The sequence below is a fragment of the Homo sapiens genome, chromosome 9 (assembly GCF_000001405.40).
Source record: "Homo sapiens chromosome 9, GRCh38.p14 Primary Assembly".
In the NCBI taxonomy this organism is placed as follows: Eukaryota; Metazoa; Chordata; class Mammalia; order Primates; family Hominidae; genus Homo; species Homo sapiens.
In genome coordinates this window covers 73,351,605-73,370,740 of record NC_000009.12, presented here as the reverse complement: position 1 = coordinate 73,370,740, position 19,136 = coordinate 73,351,605, and the positions used below count along the sequence as shown (strand labels likewise).

Genomic DNA, 19,136 nt, shown 5'->3' with positions numbered 1-19,136 from the left:
TTAGCTCATTCTACTTATATAATATTTTATAAATATGTGTAAGTGTATTTCCAAAAAACTGGAAATTGTATGAGCCATTCTTGTTATATTTAAAAAATAATATTTATGTCTTTAGGATTTACATTATTTACCCAGCCATACAGAAAAATATATAATTTAGAGACATTTAATTAGCATTTATTTCTTTGGTGAACTAACTATGAGAATCAGGACCCAATTTTTAAGATACAATTAACCTATTACAGAAATGTTTCCTGGAATAAGACTCTTACTGCAGTGCTTCAATGGACCATAGGTTTTTTTTTTTTTTTTTTTTATGGCTGAGTTATAGACTCTTGAAAAAGGAATTTATAGTGGAAATGCTGACACAACATGAGTTCCTGTATGGTGGTGTGAACTTGCAGCTATAATAATTAAGCAATTAGGCATGACAGAAAGTGTGAGTTGCCTGAGATAATCACACCCCTGGGGCATTGCAAGTCATGATCCAAAGATAAGTGTTTTTAACCTCCCAAGGGTGTGATTACCAGATGATAACCACAACCCCCGGAGAAGACTTTGATGACTCATAATATGTCTTTACTATAAGGAAAAAAGTGATTATGCTGCTGTATGCAGATGAAGCTGGCTGTGGAGACTGGTATATGTATGCCACAAATTAATTAAGAATTGTAAGATGTATACCACTTTAATGGTATTGGGCACTGATCCCAGAGATCAATTTGTTTTCTAATCATTGTTGAAATATAAAGATGGGAGAAGGAATCTCCTCTTCTCATCTTCAGAAAGAAATGAATGATTGTTTAAAGAAATCATAAAGGTTATATTGCCAAGCCATTTTATTGACTAGATTTTATCAAGTAATTCTATGACAGTCTCTCATTATCTGAACTACTCATGTTCGAATAATTTTATCACTTAAGAATAATTACATCTTTATCTAAGAGCATTTAGTACTATAGTCGCATTCACTCATTCATCCATTTTACTCCATTACCTAAAAGCACACATGAAACAATTATGCTGGAGGTATAAAGAAGCTTAAGTCCCATATTCTGGTTATGGAACACAGGCACATAAATAATTATAATGCGGTGAGACAAGTGCCAGCATGGTGGTGACTAAAGTGTGGTGTAGAAAGCAAGGAAGAAAATAAGTAATTCCAGCTGGGGAAGAATAAGAAAGCTTCATAGAGGAGAAAATATTTGATCTGGATAATAATTATAGTAGCTCCTACTTGCTGAGCATTTATTTTCGTTTAGACATTGTGCTGAGCATTTTACTTTCATAATCTTATTTTAATCTTCATAAGATCTATGTTGAGGTGGGTGGTATTTTTCTTGTGTCACAGATGCAAAAGTAAGATGGAGTGATTATGTGCCAAGCTCAAGGTGAGATAACTAGTTGGAGACATGTTAGAACTAGAAAAATAGAGTTGCTTTCAGAACAAGTACTTTTAACCACTAGGTACTATTTTGAAATATAAGTGAGTTGCATCCTTGTTTATCTTAGTGTCTTATGTGAAGTGAAGTATTAAAGGAAGATAAATTTGGCAATATAAAATGGAGAGACTCAAAAGGCACAGCAGATTCCTTGACCATCCATTGCAACTGGAGTCTATGATGCATGGGTTGCTACAGAGATAGAAGGGAGCCTGGAATAGTCAAGTCTGAATTACTTTTGGTCAAGTCACAGAGATTCAGTACTTTGCTTAACAGTTTGCAAGTTTGTTTTAAATGAATCTGCCTCTCTGATTTCAAGGTTAGTCACATGGGTCAGCAAGCAGTAAAGATTTCTTCTTTCACTTTTATTTACAAGGATCAGAAACACTTCCTAAGAACCTACATGATAATGGCAGCCATTGTAAAAGTTATGTATATAAAAGATATGTAAAAATAATTGCTAATTATAATTTTGGAAATCCCAAGTTCAATATTTTCAAAGACAAAGACAGTGGAAAAACAAAACTAATTTTGATTTGAAAACTAAACGTAAGTTGCATTGCACATTAGGGAAGTAATGCTCTAGAACCTAATTTTAATGAAAATCCTGTGAAAATCAGGGTTGTAGCTATGCTGAGAACTTTGGGACATGCCTAGAAAAAAATATTCATCTCAATAAGCAAGGCCTAATACTTTCAAAGTGCTGGAGTCTCTGAGAGACATAACAGTGTAACACGTGGCATCTGCTTCAGATGAGTTTGTGATCTGTTTGGGAGACAAAACATAAACAGTGTTTTCACAATCACTAAGAGAAATGACAGAGTTATATATTATTAACAATTTCCTGAAGTTTAGATGGCAAACTACTGGTCTACTGGTCTTTGGAATAGTAAAAATTTAACAGTAAATACAGTAGAAAGCATTTATTTGATGTCTAAAACAGGATTTTACTTATCATAACGTGGATAGTACAGACCTCTGAGTCAGTGAAGCTTGATTTTTAATTCTGTTTCAGATTACCTATATGACCTTCTACCTATTAGTTGGTTCTTGTGTTTTATTGTTCATCTTATATAAAATATAGTCAATAGTTCTCAATTCACAAAGTGGCTAAGAACATTTGAAATGGTATATGTAGAGTTTAGCTTAGTGGCCAGGATATGGGAAGCATTTATTAAATGATAGCAATTATAATGATGATCACAATAGCAATCATGTGATGGTAACTGTGCTAGACACTAATGTAAAGATGAGTGAGAAATAATCCCTCTGAATTTGGCAATGACTTCCCTACTGTTGACAGTTCCTGGGTGTTTCACCATCCTTTGTTGTTCTATACCCATTTCTGTAAACAGTCTCTTCACTAATTTTTTAATTAAATACTTCAGAGTATGATATAATTTGGCTGTGTCCCCACCCAAATCTCACCTTGAGTTGTAAAAATCCCCACATGTCCATCTCCACATGAGGTCATGTGGAGATAATTGAATCATGAGGGCAGTTTCCCCTATACTTTTCTTTGTTAGTGAATAAGTCTCATAAGACCTGATGGTTTTATAAATGGGAGTTCCCTTGCACAAGCTCTCTTTTGACTGCTGCCATGTAAGACGTGACTTTGCTCCTCCTTTGCCTTGTGCCATGATTGTGAGGCTTCCCCAGCCATGTGGAACTGTGAGTCAATTAAACCTCTTTCCTTTAGAAATTACCAAGTCTCAGATGTAGCTTTATTAGCAACATGAGAACGGACTAATACAAGGTATAATAGCTCTTTCCAACGGGGACCCTGATGTTATATTTTTTAAAATTATTCAATATATGTGCTCCTTTAAGACTTTAATAGATTTTAATATAAAGACTGTTCTAAATTGCTTACAGTTCGTAAAATTGCTACTTTAGGATGATGTGTGATGCTTATCCTGGGGAGTTTATTACCTGGCACACAAATTTGGATCTCAACAGGTTCTCTGTTCCCTGGTTATCAGGCTCCACAGGTGGTCCAAAGTGAGCTGAATGGATATGGTTCTCCTGTGGGAGTTGCAAATAATGATTTTCACCGTGGTGAGCACAACCTGCAGGATCTGTTTTGCTTCTCTTTCATTCTTCACTATCTTCTCCATTTTTAGAAATAAATATAGAATTAAAATTTTGAATGAGATACCTTTAGTTTAGACCTTAAGAACCCTAACACTGGCTGTGTGACAGATTTTTAAAAACATAGGTTCTTGCTTCCTGAAATGAATTTTATATGATTGTTTTTCTGGTTTTTATATGCTTTCTACACGTGGTCCTACAGTGCTCTCCTACTTAAACTTTGCTAAAAAGAAGATATGACAAGACCAAATGATAGGACCAAAATCTGAGATCACATTAAGAATGAGACTTTAAAAACACCAGAAAGTTTATTTATTTGGGCTTTTGGAATTCTCGCAGTCATTAGGAATCACTTCAACAGGGGAATTTTTGGAAAGAAAGTAATGTAAAGAATATCCAAGCCATGAGCAGGTTACTTAGCCACTCGGAAAGATGGCTTATTCACTGGTAAAATGAAAATACTACCCAACTTACAGGGTTGTCAGGAAATGGAAAGAAAGCAAGGAAAGAACATATCAACATGCTCATCACTTAACAGTTGTTCAACTAAATTGTTGAACAACTAATTTTTGGTGTGGGGTCGGTTTAGATGTATTTTAATTAAACTGTTGCTGTCTCAATAATTGAGTTGATGAGATAAGAAAGGATAGCTCTAATTCACAATTGATAGTATAAATTGAGCCCTTGGAATATATTGCTCACAATTTTAATAACTTTACTCTTATTAATTCATATACTGATAACAAATTTTCTAGGTAAGTTATATTATTCCCATTTTATATATAAGAAAAGTGAGACACAAAGAAGTTAAATGACTTGCCTGTGTTCATATGACTAGTAAGAATAGAGATGGGATTTGAATTCAGGCTGTCTGAGTCCAGAGAGAGTTCTTAGTCTGAGGCTTTCTTCTTCCCAAGACCCAGGAAGTTTGTCTGGAAAGCAGGAGCTGATATGCTGTCTGAGAACAGTGGAGATTCAAGTTAAAAATTACTAAATTTAAAAACACAGCTACTTAAAATCTTTTCTAGAATAGGCAGGGGAAAACAATAATTATTACTTGATAACTATACATGGGTAAATGGACATAATTATGTCATACTTCTTAACTGCATATTTATCCAAAGCTTGCAATAAAATATTTTTATTTCAGAAGTGGCCTTAAAAAGATCATGAGAAATAGTGTATATTCAAAAAAATCCAAATTACTTCAAGTTGTTTAATTAAAGATGAGACTTTCCTTATCTATTTTAGGTCAAGGAAGTGTGGGATTGGAAGCTGAAAAAAACCCAAATGACTATATGGAAGGTTATTGAATCTGACTTTTCATATCTTTTCAATCTGTTGTCATTTTTTATTTGTCCAGAATCAGATAAAATTCAATCATAATGTTATACAATTTCCCAAGCTCATAAATAAATTAATAATTTTAAAAGGAGAATTAAGGAGGTCTGAAAAAAAATATGGGATTAAATGTTTTGCAGTTATTTTATCTCTTTCAATTGCTATTAGGAAAACATGTCTTGATTTTTTTGTCAGTGGATAAAAGTAGAGAATGCCTAAGCATTTAATATAAGTTGAAGAAATAAAAGAACAATTGTCTTATAAAAGGAAAAATGTTAAGATATTTAAACAGTGTAACTGGATTGAAAATAAATTAGTGATTTGTAGAGGTTGGGGGAAAAAAGAATGGAAAGTGATTGTCAATGGGAATAGGGTTTTTTTGAAGTTATAAAAATATTCTGGAATTAGACAGTTATGATGGTTGCAGAACATTGTGAATATACTATACTAAAAAACAATGAATTGTACATTTTAAAAATAATAAAAATTATGCAAAGGTATGTGAATTGCATCTCAATTTAAAAATCTTATGGAAAAATATCCAATGATTGCAGAATCTTTGCATATAAAGGGAAAGACTGCAGTACAGGTCACAGGAACAGAAGTTGAAATCATTAAAGGAAATGTACCAAATAAATGAATAAATAAGTAAAGGTCACAAAGCCCAATAAGTTGGAAGAACATAATTAATCTCCAGCTACTCATGATTCAAAGGCAATGTACTCAAAGTGACCACATTTTCCAACATAATAATTCAAAGCCTGCAAGTAGGCTACCAAAGTACAGTGATCGCCTGGTACTTTATGTATAACATGATATGGGAATTACAATTTTAAGATCTCGTTGTTGAAACTGGAATATCCAGATTTCAAGTACTTAGGGATACAGCAGGATGTAATGTTTAGATCATAACTATTCTGGAATATGCAAAATTACAGATTCATGCTTCTCAATAGAATTCTTCATTGGCTGAAAGAAATTCTAACTAAGTGAAGCAAAAAAAAGAGAGAGAATAAAATATTAGAGCACACAATATTAAAGAGAAAACTGGAAAATTAGGCATAAATAAAGCATATCCAAGAAACCTTTTGGAGGATATGGACTGGGAACTCATGGAAGGCTTTCTTCAAAGTCCACCATGGAATTACCTCAGATTCAACCACTTCCCTTCCTTATGTAAGCCTGCTTAAGATTTATGTTCCTGAAAGAAAGAACATTTGACCATCATTTATTCTTGTAGAAGGCAGAAAAGTATATGGCTTGATAGTTTTAACTTGATTGCATTCAGTGGAGGAGTCGTTTCCCAAGGAACTCCTGCCAAATCATGGGGAACAGGAAGGAAAGCATTCAAAACAACATATGTCAACAAAAGCCACCATTTTTAAGGACTTTAGTTTCCTCATTTGTTAAATCACATAATAATGTTACTCACCTCACAGGCTCAATACTTACTCCAATATCAGGTACATCATAAGAAATATATATTTATTAGTTATTATTAATATATATGAATAACATATAATATACAATATTAATATGTTTATTACAAAATATTTAAACATTAAGAAGATTGTGGAATAGCTATTTCTTATAAATAGATGACAATAAGTCAAAGCAATATGATTATATTCACTTAAAAATTCAATAATTTTTGCTGCTCTGCCTATGGAGTAGCCATTCTTTTATTCCTTTACTTTCTTAATAAACTTGCATTCACTTAAAAATAATAAATAATTTTGCTCTATTTCCAATTGTGCTCCTCAGTTTATGCAAATTAGTTAGCTTTTCTCATAGTTCTACAAAAAAATTTAAATTATTATTCTTTTTTGGAGAAGGGCCTTAAATAAATTCAAAATATTCACCTTATTTATATGTATTTTTAGCACTGATGTTGATTTAGGCAGAAGGTAAACCCCATAGCGTCAGCATTTACACAATCATTTCTATACCAAAGAATGCCACACGTAAATGTATCATACATTATAAGATTTAGCTGGTTCTTACAATATTAGCTTAGCAACAATAGGAATCCATAATTTCACTATAGTCATTAATCATTCCTGCTCTTTTAACAATAAACTCAACAGAATGGGTTGTCATATAGGGGTCAATTTTCAAATAAACATGATCAAATAACCTCCACAAAAAAAATAAGAAAAACACAGTAGACAACCTGTATTCTTCAGTAAGTTTTCTTTGCTGACTTATCTTTGGTGAGCAAATTCAGTGGAATCCTTACTTCTGCTCTTGAAAAAGTAACCTCCTTCAGTAACCTCCAAATTCTTAGCTGCAGCTGAAGGTTTTATTTCCTGGCAGAGACAAAATCAATGATGTATCACTAGATTTAGAGCTCTAACAAAAATATGTCCATGTTTCCACTTTCTGACTCCTCCCCACCACATCCACAGACAGGGACAACACCTCCAGCTATCCTCTCTCTCCAATTCAGAAAGCGAACTGGGGGAGTGGCAATGGGTGATTTTCATTCAACTACCTGCATCAATTAGGAACTTACACTAAGAATTGGGCCTTAAATAATTGTAAGAGGAGCTGAGAGAAATAAATGTCCAAAAAGGTCAAAGAAAAGTTTCTTAACCAGGCCCAGCACTGGAGAACAAATGGAACAAAATAAACCCACAGGGAGAAATGAATTTTCCCAAATATTGTATAGGAAAATAAAGTTTCAATTGTTGAAAAGAAATAAGTTATCCAAAAGTAATGTTTTATTTTAAAATAGCAGCTAGTAGCTCAAAAAAAAAACCTAATGATAATTGAAAATTATTGTTTGAAAGAAAACAGAAGGTAGTGATTAAAATTCAAATCTCAATATTCCTTCTTACTTTGACCACTGAAGAGTAAATCTGGGGACTCTAATTTTTTTCCAAGTTTCCCTAGCTTATAGGTACCTATGGAGTGACATAATGGCAATAGGAATTTGGCTCTTCATACTATCTTCCCAAATTGTTTCTGCAGCTCACCATGAAGTTTGAAGTTTTCTGTGGGCTCTCATGTGTATGCACAAAGTCAGCTTCCACCAGGCATTGCTGCTATTTTGCCAGTGCCCTAAAGATAACTTTAGGATATCTGATTACCATTGTTCATCTTCCTCTAGGCATCTGAGGGGACCATCACATTCAATAGCCTCCCCTAGTTGCAGTGTAGATTATCTGAAAGAAGCCACAGAACGTGTGCAGGATGTTTAATAGCCTAATGTGCAGCAAGAAAAATGCAAACCTCTTCATGTTCATTTCTTTTGTATTCTGTGGCAGTGGCTCCCAAGCAGAGATGATTGTATCCTCAAAGTTCCTCGTGAAAACGGTTTTTTTGTTTTATTTTTGTTGTTGTTGTTGTTTTTGTTTGTTTTTTTTGCTCCTATTGGTAGCTCTCTCTATATATTGTTCAGATACCAGAATAAAGAGATGCATTTGGACACAAACCCATATTGTCCTCTTCATTCTTTTCTCTTCTTTCTCCTGGGATCTTTGCTGTCAACAATGTTTAATTCTCCAAAGCAGAATAATTTAATAGAAATATAATGAGTTAGATATACATTTAAAATTTTAATTTTTCCTTGAGAATATGAAGAGAAACACATGAAATTATAATACATTTTATTTAACCCATTGTATCCAAATAATTATTTTAAGATGAAATCAATATAGAAATTATTAATAAGATATTTTACATTTCTTTGGTATTAAGTCTTCGAAATCCAGTGTCTATTTTACACTGACATCAAATTGCCATTCAGACTGGTCACATTTCAAGTGCTTAACGGTCAAGTACAGCTACTGGTACTATACTGGACAATGCAGCTCTAAAGAGCCAAAAACCCCATTTGACCTAAGTAGTTGCTGAAACAATCTTCCATCAAGACTATAACTTACATAAATTGAAAATAGCTGAACAATTTCTTGGAAAATAACAGTAAATTACTACCACTTAATGTAACTTTCATTCTTCAGATAAATGGATATTTCACTTTTTTACCTTTGTATAATTACCTTTGATATCTATAATTAACATAAACATATTAAAGACAAGGCTTCCAGAACCATCAAACAGAGAAAGCTTTAGCTACAAGAAGTAGCTTGATCGTTCTGAAATTTCCTTTAAAGGGTAGAATCCTTTAACAGATTTTATACCCCAAATTTCTCATCAAGTGTTTCAAAAATGATAATATTTACCAATGCCAAAATGTGATTTCATGGTAAGTGGTTCCACTAACGCATCTCAAAATGTGGATACCTAAGCTTTATTTTTAGTCATTTATATCTTCCTCTTTAAGGGGCTAAATCATGTGTCTAAATTCCTAATCATGTGACTAGCTGAAAACTAACTTTCTTTTGGGGAGAATTTGAAGATGAGAAAGATATGATAAAATGAAATAAGGTTATGAGGGCTCACTTATATATGATTAAAAATCACACTTTTGGGGCTGCTTTACCTGGAGTCAATAGGTCATGCTGAAAGTTAGTGATTTGTTGGCTCCAAAAGTAATGACTGTCTTCTTTTGTACATTTTGCAAATGGTAGAATGAAGAGAAGGTGTCAATTAAAAAACAGAACTCCAGACTCTACTTTAAATGATTATTAAAGTGACACGTATCAGGGTTTTATTTCCTCTCATACTTTTTTAAGAAACATGAAATTTCTTCCTTTAGCAATTTAGCACTTGTTTGGAAAATTATTTAGAACCATTTGTGGTAAGCTGCAGAGGTGCCTTCCCTGGCCATACGATCTAAACCTTTAAATACAATCTTGAGAAACAAATATCCAGAAAAATCTAATTCATTTGCTCCTCATATGTAAGTTTTACTTGCATCATGCAAAAATAGATGACTTATACTGTCATCTCTTTTTGCACTAAGGAGCCAGGTATTTGCATCTTTGTGGGGTGATTTAATGGTCACTAAGCAGCAGGAAAGAGTGCTCACCTCAGCAGAAGATGGCATTGCTAAAACTAGGTAACATTGTCAGAGCACAGCTGGGTGGTCAGGACATTGGACAGTAATTACTAGCCAGTGAAAAAGAATGAGCTCTAAATGAGGAGACGAAAAGAACAAGACCTTGGGGATTGGGTTTTTAGTTATAATTAACATAAATCGAGAGATAGATTTGGTTTGGCCAAAATACAAGAGGAGATCTATTTCTAAGCTTCTGCTGTGTGAACCTTAAAATGTCTGCAAAAGCCCTTGGATGCACTTCCTCCCATTTCTTTCACAGCTGTGGTGTGCTATTATCGCTATTGTTAATAATAACTACAGTAATATTTTCCATAATACCTTTCTCCTGAAGTCTATAGGGTATCAGGCAAAAGCTTCCAAATTCTGTGAATAACGTTTGTCTAATAAGCGTTGCAAAATGTCAAGTTAGTGAAAAAAAAATAGATGTTAGGAAACAAGGGAGGAAAAGATGATTTAGAACAAAATAGAATGGAAAAAATCAAAGGAAGAAATTATCTGTTAACAGCTAGTGAACACAGCAGACAAATCCATGCTCCTTGGCCAAACTTTTCTAGAAAAATCTTGACACAATATGGAGTATTCATATTTGAAAGCCATCACCCAGGACCTTTTAAAATTACAAGTAAAAGATGTAACTGACTTTATTTTTTCTTATTTCAAGTTCTGAACTTAGGCCAAGTGTCGAAGGCATCAAAACCATAAGGTAAACTAGGAGACAACTGAGTACTACAAATTTCACATGAAGAGGAAACAGATACCTGAAAGAAGGTAGAACAGAAAGAAAGAAGAGTTATTTGAAGTTGTTCCCATTTGTGTCAGGAATGCCCTGGCCATCTGAGACTGACTACTGAGGTGCTACCTGCCTTTGTCTTTGTATTAATATTTAGCTGTATGAGTCTGTGCTGGATAGTAATAGATGGCATTTATTGAATGGCTGCTCATTAGCAGGCAATGTTATAAGCATTTTACATGGGTCATTAATTCAATATCACAATCTTATGAGATCAGTAGCATTATTACCACCACAATTTTCAGATGAGAAAACCTAGGCACAGAGAAGTTAAATGACTTACCCAACACCACACGGTTAGCAAGTGGTACAGTTGGAATTTGAGTATAAGCAGCCTGCCTCCAAAGCCCACCCTTTTTACACACACTATATTGATGAAAGTTGTAAATGCACTTGCCAACTGAGGAAGAAATAGATGGCTTACAGGAGCTTAGTAGAAATGCTATGTTAGAGGAAGCAAAACAAAATATCTCTACTAGTCTCTATTTCAAAGAGGTAAAATCCTATATACTTATTGGAACCAGGTGACATCCCATTTCTATTCCTGTGTATGCTCCTTTTTACCAGTGCCTACTTATTCCTTCCCATTTACCTTAGGTCCTGCTTCACATCACTTTATGTCTATGTTTGTGCAAACTCTAGGTATCCCTCTGAACTCTACTGAGTTACATTAAGTTCTTATAGCAATTGAACATATCATACTTTAAAGAAATTAAAGCAATGGTTTCCATGACTAACTAAAAGTTAAGAATGCAAAAGTCTTACAGAAATATCTATATTGGGAAGATTTCATGCTCTGATATCAAAGGAGAAAGAGAACTCAGATAAGGCTTGCCCAAGTATTGGGCAGTTTAACCCAGTCTGCATAGCCTCCGTCCATTTATTTTCACAACTCTAAATCATCTTATTGTTGGGCTGAAATAATTACCAACTAAGTGACAGTAGAATCTAATAGAAGTTTGAAACTCTCACAATCAATACTGGTTGGCATAAAGTCCCACTGGGGAACAATGAAAAATGTACTTGCTAAATTTCTAACAATAGGTCAGGTTACTGCTATGGCATTTCTAACTAATGCAGGTGCTTCTGAATTGTACATTGAAATATATGCTGTCCTTTCTGTAGGGCAGTTGTTTTTGTTTCTCTGTTTTCTCAACATAATTTGGAAAGGAGAATAGGAATTAAAATTTACAGCTTACAGACCTTGTTTTGATTTCCTTCTTTTAGGTAAGCTTCTTTATTAACAATACTGAAAATGAATGTGTTTCCTTCTTATTGAACTGTAGTCTTCTGTCTAGTCCAGCTATACAGAAATATAATACAAGAAATCAAGGAAAGAAAGACTTGGGGTAATTAAATATATTTCTAAATTTAGTCAAAGCTACCTAGAAGTTATGGTTAAACATTAGCGTTAAGAATGTAAGAATGTTTGTTAGGATGTCTGTACCATGTATTGTATTAAATACAAAGATTTCAGAGTTAACTCTTGTCTTTTTGAGTAACATTCACAAGTCAAAAGAAAATGGATCAGTGAGGCAATAAATGGCTTAAGGACATTTGGGCAATGGCTTTAGGCCATGTGGAGTCACTGACAGGTTTTAAACAGGGGAGTTAATTTTGAAAAATTAACTTTTGTGGAAGATGGACTGGAAAAAATGCAGGAACAAGTTAATAAGCAATTGTATTATAATATTTTAGTTATTCTCAGTAAAGGGTGATTTTGCCCCTCAGGGGTCAATTATCAACATCTAGAGATATTTTTATTTTCACAACTGAAAAAGATGGGAGTGCTACTGACATCTATTGAGTAGAGGTCCGTAATACTATAAACATACTACAATGCACAGGACAGCCTGACACCACAGGGAATTATCCAGCCCAAAACGTCAATATTGTCGAGGTCAAGAAATCCTATATTAATGTTCACACACACACAAATAAGGGACTGACCCAAAGACATAAAAAGTAGAAACAGAAACATTTTGGGATATGTAATTTATCAAAACTTAGTGACTAATTAAATGTGGTCAGTAACAGACATTAAAGGGTCTTATCGTGTCTATTAAATAGGGTTTTGTATGATCGTACTTACGTGCAAAAGAACAAGGAAGGGAGTACAGACAGCAGAGACAGTTTCAATAGAAAGTGAGAGGGTGGGAACAGGACGTTGAGCTTGAGGTGTCTGTGAGACATCTGCTTCCCATTAAATTATACAAGTCTGAAATAGAAGTCTATTTTGAAGATACAGATTAGGAAGATATCAACAGATGGCGGTTGGAACTGTAAGAATAGATAAGATGCCAATGAGAAAGGGTGTGGGAGTGGAAAGATAAATAATATTGGGGGAGGGTGAATGGACAGGAGTGGTTAGAGACACAGAGACACATTTGAAAATGTGGAAAGAGAACTTGTTCAGTTAGTACAAGTGTGTTAGCCGAGCTGTGAATAACCTCAGCTTTGAGAATTCATTGCTCTCTTAAGTCTTTGTACTCTTAGAAATTATTGATTACACAGGAATCCACTTTATGCAAAAAAGGGAAGCAGAGAGGTGTTGAATTGCTGTTAGATGAACATTATAAGATAAATAAATATTCAAGAGAAATGAAAGTGTACATCCTTTAATAAATGGAAATACTTGCCATAAAACTTTAGCAACAACTGCCAGTTAGTGGCAAAGTGGTTTGATTAATTGTAACTTGTAAAACTATGATAAAATTTCAAGAGTGAATGTTAGGTGTTAATAACAAAAGAAAAGCTAGCCCTTGTTTTTAGGAATGCTAATTTGCTCTCTCGAAAGGAAATCTCCATAAATTATTGCATAAAAGATATAAAGTCTGATAGAGTATTTCAATACTATTCTGTAACTCTGACCCAAAATTATTTCCCAGTTACTTTAACAAAATAGGAAGTAATTAAGGCTATGACAACATATTTTGAATGAGTATATTTTGAAATAATATATTTCATAGTAAAAGATTGATCTCAACCATTAAGAAATAAATACAAGTTGTATTTTTCTTCTATCATAGATATTACTCTCTACTTCTTGGTAAAATTTATCTTACCTAAATTTATTATCTAATTAGTCTTACAGTGATACTTAACCACAAATAGGTTAAGCATTGTTATATATAACTTAGAAAAAAAAATTAGCCTCAAAATTTGTTATTTTGGACATCACATTCTATCACATATTTTGCATGCCTGCTCTTGCTTCCAAATGCTCAAATGTGAGTTTAAACAAGTCAGATGTTTAGTGGTAGAAGCAGAAAATAATCAATGTCAAAGTATATTTATAAATATATCAAGTAAGAAATGAGTATGGCCTGTGAGTATTGTTTCAAAGTTTTAAATAATCATGAGTATTTTGACCCAGCTCGGTTTTTATGAAAACCATGCCTTGATCTTTATGAAATGGATGGGGTTGGAGAAGCTCTGTAAGGATAACAATTTAATAGACAAAAGGTGCCCTCGAAGGTCAGAAGAGTCTTGCTCTATTATTACTTCACATTGTCCTCAAATTGTGTTTTCCAAATACTCTAAGATTATTGTGTTAGGAATATGTTAAGGCACAGATACTAACTGGTTCCTTGGGCTTAGATTTTCATTACTAGTTCTTGCCACTTACTGGAGAAACTAGAAATAGCCACTTTTCATGTTTCTGTTTCACTTACCTCCAGTGGCTAGGTAGCTCACATCACCTACCTTATTGGTAAGCTTGGAGGATTAATGGGAATAATTGTAAATCAATTTTAGAAATTTGACAGGCATGCTATACACTATCATTATTAAAGAAAAGCCATTCTTGTGAATTACTACAGAGATAAGAAAAATCTGTATGGTCAGTGTACTCAAGTTTACATAATAAATCATGTGATGTAAAGAGAAAGTTGTAATTTCAAGAGGAGCAGTGTTAACATACAGTCTACTGTTTAAACATACTTAACAGGATACATTATTATTGCTATTGGATGATATCCCTCAACATTCTACAAAATCAGAATCTACTACTTCTATATTCTTTTCCCAAAATAGAATTAGGTTTTTTTCACTTTAAAGGAAAAAGTAACCCACAAAAGCAGCTTTTTGTAAATCAAGGTTTTAATAAAATTGAGGTGTATCATTTAACAGAGAATATATTATGTAAGCTAAGCAATCTATTCATTGAACAGCACTGAAAATAGTAATGAAATAGTATCTTATATCAAATAGAAAACTAGTTAGCTTTAAAGCTAAATGAAGACAAGCTCCACTGGAAAGGTAAAAAGAGTATTTCCTAATAGAAAGAAAAATAATACAATATCTCAAAATAAAGTTAAAAATACCATTCCTTAGAATACACCATAATTCAAAAAAATCTGGATTTTTCCTCCTTGGTTGAATAGGTTAGTTACTGAAATCTGCATTCGTTATTTCCAACGTCACATTGCTTTTAGGAACTGAAACTCTGTAACCTTGATGCTTAATAATTGGCTGGAACTTTATTATGTCCATGTCTCACATACTGAGTCTAGGTGTACACACTTATTTCCAAATATGTATTCCACACTGTTTTTCTCCCCCAGAAAAGGTAGGAATGAAGAAGCCAACAATTAAAAAAAAATCTGTGTGCATGATTTTTTTTCAAAATTTCTTCAGTAAGCCCACGCTAAGCATATTGAAATAAAGCAAGAAAGTCAATGTTAAAAACAAACAAACAAACAAACAAAACAAACAACAATGCAAAAAAACACAGAACAAAACAAGAACCAGTTTGAATACTGTGGTGCCACTGCAGTCCACCTCCAAACTCACTAGTTTAATTTCTGTCAAACTGTCTACCTCTTTTCCTTTAGATGGCTGTTAAATATTAATATCTTATTTGGAAACAACCACAGCAGAAATTTAAAGAAATCAATACTCTAACAAACTGAAGAATCAGTTTGTGTCCTGTGACATTAAAATGATAGATAACTGGGATGTTGAGCAAAAAAAAAAAGCAATTTTCCATCACAAGTGTAGATCAGTTGCCTGTTCTTCTTTTCTTCCTTTCTTATTTCCTTTATTCCTGTTTTTCACCCTCCCTCCCTTATTTTCTTGGAATTAAGAACTATCAAAACAATCATAAAGCCTGAAAAGTATAGTAGCAGTGAACATAAATTCTGGAGTCAGGGCTCAATGAATTCAATTTCTGGCTCTACCAGTTAGAGATGTGGAATCTTAAGTAAGTTACTTAGATTTTCTAGCTAAATTTCCTTCTTTGTTAAAGTAAAATATCAGTACACATCCCATAGTAATGTTTAAAGGTAAAATTAGTTAATATTCATAAAACCATTACATCACTAACTTTCACGTGAGCTTTTGCTTTTATAATTCTCTGTTTTAAAAAACAAAATTTGGCCAAAGAGTGTAGCCCAGCAATATACAAAAGCCATAAAGTAGGAAATAAAGAGGAAACTAGGAAGGAAGAACAGCACTTCAGGAAATACGATGAGTGACCTTAATAACATCACGAAAGGCAGCTTCCAAGGAAATTCCTGAAATTATTTTAAAATGAAGATAATAAATCTACTTCTATCTGCTTTCTCTTTCAGAATATTTTACCAAGGGTTTTAATAAGAGAAATGCTCAGTATTTCTCCTCCACAACAACTTCTAGGAGCATTTAATATCCTCTGGTGTGGCATTCTCTATTAGTTCACTTCCTTGAGCCACTTACCTGGAAATATAAAACAGGAGTGATATTATTTTTTCACTGGGCAGTTAAGAAGTCAACAAATTTTGGTATGGTGAAGAAATACATATAAAATAAAAATCAATCTATTTATCTTTCAATACCCAAACTAGCCTTCTTTGGATGACATTCTTTAGAAGATTATCTCTTATCAATCACTTTCTGCAGTGTTATAAATTTTGTAGATCATATTTAGAAAGATTTAGCAATGAAGTCACCTTCATAAGGGAATTTTTCTAATGTATGAGTAACTTGCACAGAAGTGAACTACAAGGTCAACGGCAAAGACAGGTAATGCTATTTGTACAAAGGGAAACTACACTTAAGATAGCTACTAGCATTCATTGAAGAAGTGACATTCTGTAGACAGAACAGTGAAACAAACATGTGCTCACTGGGGTCCAGTCCATACATTTTGAAAAGCCACTTTATAACATGTGAAAAGCAGATGAAAAACTGTCTTAAAACTGAATCCAGTAAGTTCTACTTAAGAAATACAAAAAGGGCATAACCTAAATTGCAAATAATGATTCAATAAGCATTTACAATAACACATTTTTTAATAATTACTAATGAAGGGAGAATGGCAGGTAAATTACGGATGGTCATCATATTTTCCTAAAATGTGCATGTTCCAAATAAATTGTATGTAATATGATTTATATATTATATAATTTGCCTATAATTCTTTTAAAAAGAAAAAATGAATTAATATGATTAAAGTAGATTCTCACAGGGATAAACATTGTGAAGCATTTTTAGAAATAAACAATAAAGACAAATAAAAATTGGCCCCAAACTAGTTGATTCTGACACAGTATCCAAAACAATGAAGTGCTTGAAAGCATTCTAACATTTTTTCACAACAGTGATGATTTCTGTGAATCAGGGAATCGTTTTAGAACAATCCAACCACTTGCATGGCATATGTGACATTTTTAGTATATTTTTCATGTTTATTTCCACCTTCAGCCTTCTTTGCTTTATTTGATTCTAAATTCATAATTACAAATAACTATTCAGCTTCTTGCTTTCAGTGGAATATATAAAATATATTTTCTAAAAATTCAGTTTTTTAATGCTATTTAACATACCAAGTTTTGTATACATCAGAATAATTTTAACTGGATTTTTTGTTAATGTAGAATACAATTTTCTAAGAAATTTTGGTTTTTAATCTGCTTTGATTCTTTAAAAATCCTTTTTTGGCTTCAATGTCTATATTTTAGTATAGACTTTTTGTGTAATAAGGCACCAATTAGACATTTTATTGTCTGTTTTTAATTAATTATTTTGTGTGGTGACTAGGAATATTTATGTTTGACCAAGCTGTATTTTGAAAAGATGTTATAAACCAATTTATCAAGAAACATTTTTAAAATTTATTTTTAATTTCTTTCTGTATTATCTATATTTTATCATAAGGACCCATTAGTATATTAGCCTAACAAAACTCTGTTTTAGAATAAAATGAAGTGAATGAATAGAAAACTCATGTCAATAGTTAACAATAGACAATAAGAGTCTTTGAAAAAGTCTCCCTGTTGAAGCTACATTTTTATAATGTGTTACTCTCAAATTGAGAAAAGAAGATGTAAAGTTAATGATAGAAGATAAGTTACAGAAAAAGGAGTGGGATTTTTTTTCTTTAATCTGATTTTTTTTAGAGCGGAAGGAATTTCCACTTTCAGCCTAAGGAAACTAGAGGAACTGGATATACACTTCCACCCAAAACTATTACAAAAAAAAAAAGAGAGAGAGAGAGAGAAAAACAAAAAATATAAAACAACAGTGTTTAAGACAATGCCTATCAGGCAACAAAGTATGGCAATCTCAGAGATGAGAAATAAAGGAGGTGAGCCTGCAGTTGCCCCAGCATACCACCTTAACTCTTTGCCATAGGGTTTACAGCCTTTGGCAAAGGAAGGAAATTCCCAAAAGGAGCCTAGCCTTCTCTATGAGTTGAGAAGATGACGTTGGGAGTTCAGAAAGGCAGAGACAGCTAAACTTTGCAGAGCATATACCTGACAGGAGACAGTTGTGCAGAGGGAGTGTCTCAGAGATCTGCAAAGGGTTCCTCTAGAGTCTTCAGCTGAATGCACAAATGTGAGGGAACTATCCAAGCCTGGGGATAGAACCACCCGAAGGGTTAAAGAGATCAAGCCCTGAAACTCACACTTGAAATAGTTCCCATTCTCATCAACCACACCAGATAACCTGATAACTCAAAAGGCATCGGAGAGCGTTCCCAAAAGACATTTACCTCATTAATGGGGCAAAATTAGCTCCCGATTGAACAGGTCCATTTCCACCTAACAGTTGAAAAGTAAACTGTTTCTAAGCTATTCAGGAACAGAGTTAAATGATATTTAACTAATACCAAGGCACCAATAATACATAATGAGGAAAGGAAAGTCTCTTCAATAAATGGTTTTGAGGAAACTGGATATCCACAGGCAAAAGAAAAGAATTGGAACTTTGTCCTGTACCATATAAAAGAAACGTAAGGTCTGAAACTACAAAACTCTTAGACGACAACATAGGGAAAAAGCCCTTTGCCTTTGGCCTTGGCAATGATGTTTTGGATATGACAAAAAAGAAGCACAGGCGACAGAAGCCAAAACAAACAAGTGGGACTACATCAAACTAAAACAGTTTCCACATAGCAAAGGAAACTATCAACAAAATAAAAAGGCATCAATTAAATCGGAGAAAATATTTTCAAATCATATGTCCTAGTAGGATTTAATATCCAAAATACAGGAAGAACTCATACAACTCAATAACAACAACA

General features: G+C 33.3%; 2 long non-coding RNA genes across 4 annotated transcripts in view; both read right to left on the bottom strand.

Annotated features, from left to right (window-relative positions):
• Positions 1–821: 821 nt before the first annotated feature.
• On the bottom strand, positions 822–3,466 carry LOC124902182 (uncharacterized). The gene is made up of 2 exons (XR_007061580.1): positions 3,375–3,466; positions 822–2,207 (listed from the first exon to the last, which is right to left on the bottom strand). It is a non-coding gene; the product is annotated as an uncharacterized LOC124902182 (long non-coding RNA).
• An 892-nt stretch (positions 3,467–4,358) lies between these two features.
• The window catches only part of LOC101927281 (uncharacterized), a 107,092-nt gene continuing 92,314 nt past the window's right edge, over positions 4,359–19,136 (bottom strand). Inside the window, exons 1-6 of one of the 3 annotated variants that reach the window (XR_007061579.1) lie at positions 12,723–12,825; positions 11,834–11,933; positions 7,853–8,041; positions 7,048–7,183; positions 5,960–6,075; positions 4,359–4,491 (exon numbers count right to left, since the gene is read on the bottom strand). This is a non-coding gene — a long non-coding RNA (uncharacterized LOC101927281). Of the gene's footprint in view, positions 7,184–7,852; positions 8,042–11,833; positions 11,934–12,722; positions 12,826–19,136 lie in introns of those variants that run through there. The other 2 variants (XR_001746723.2, XR_001746724.2) reach the window with 2 other exon arrangements.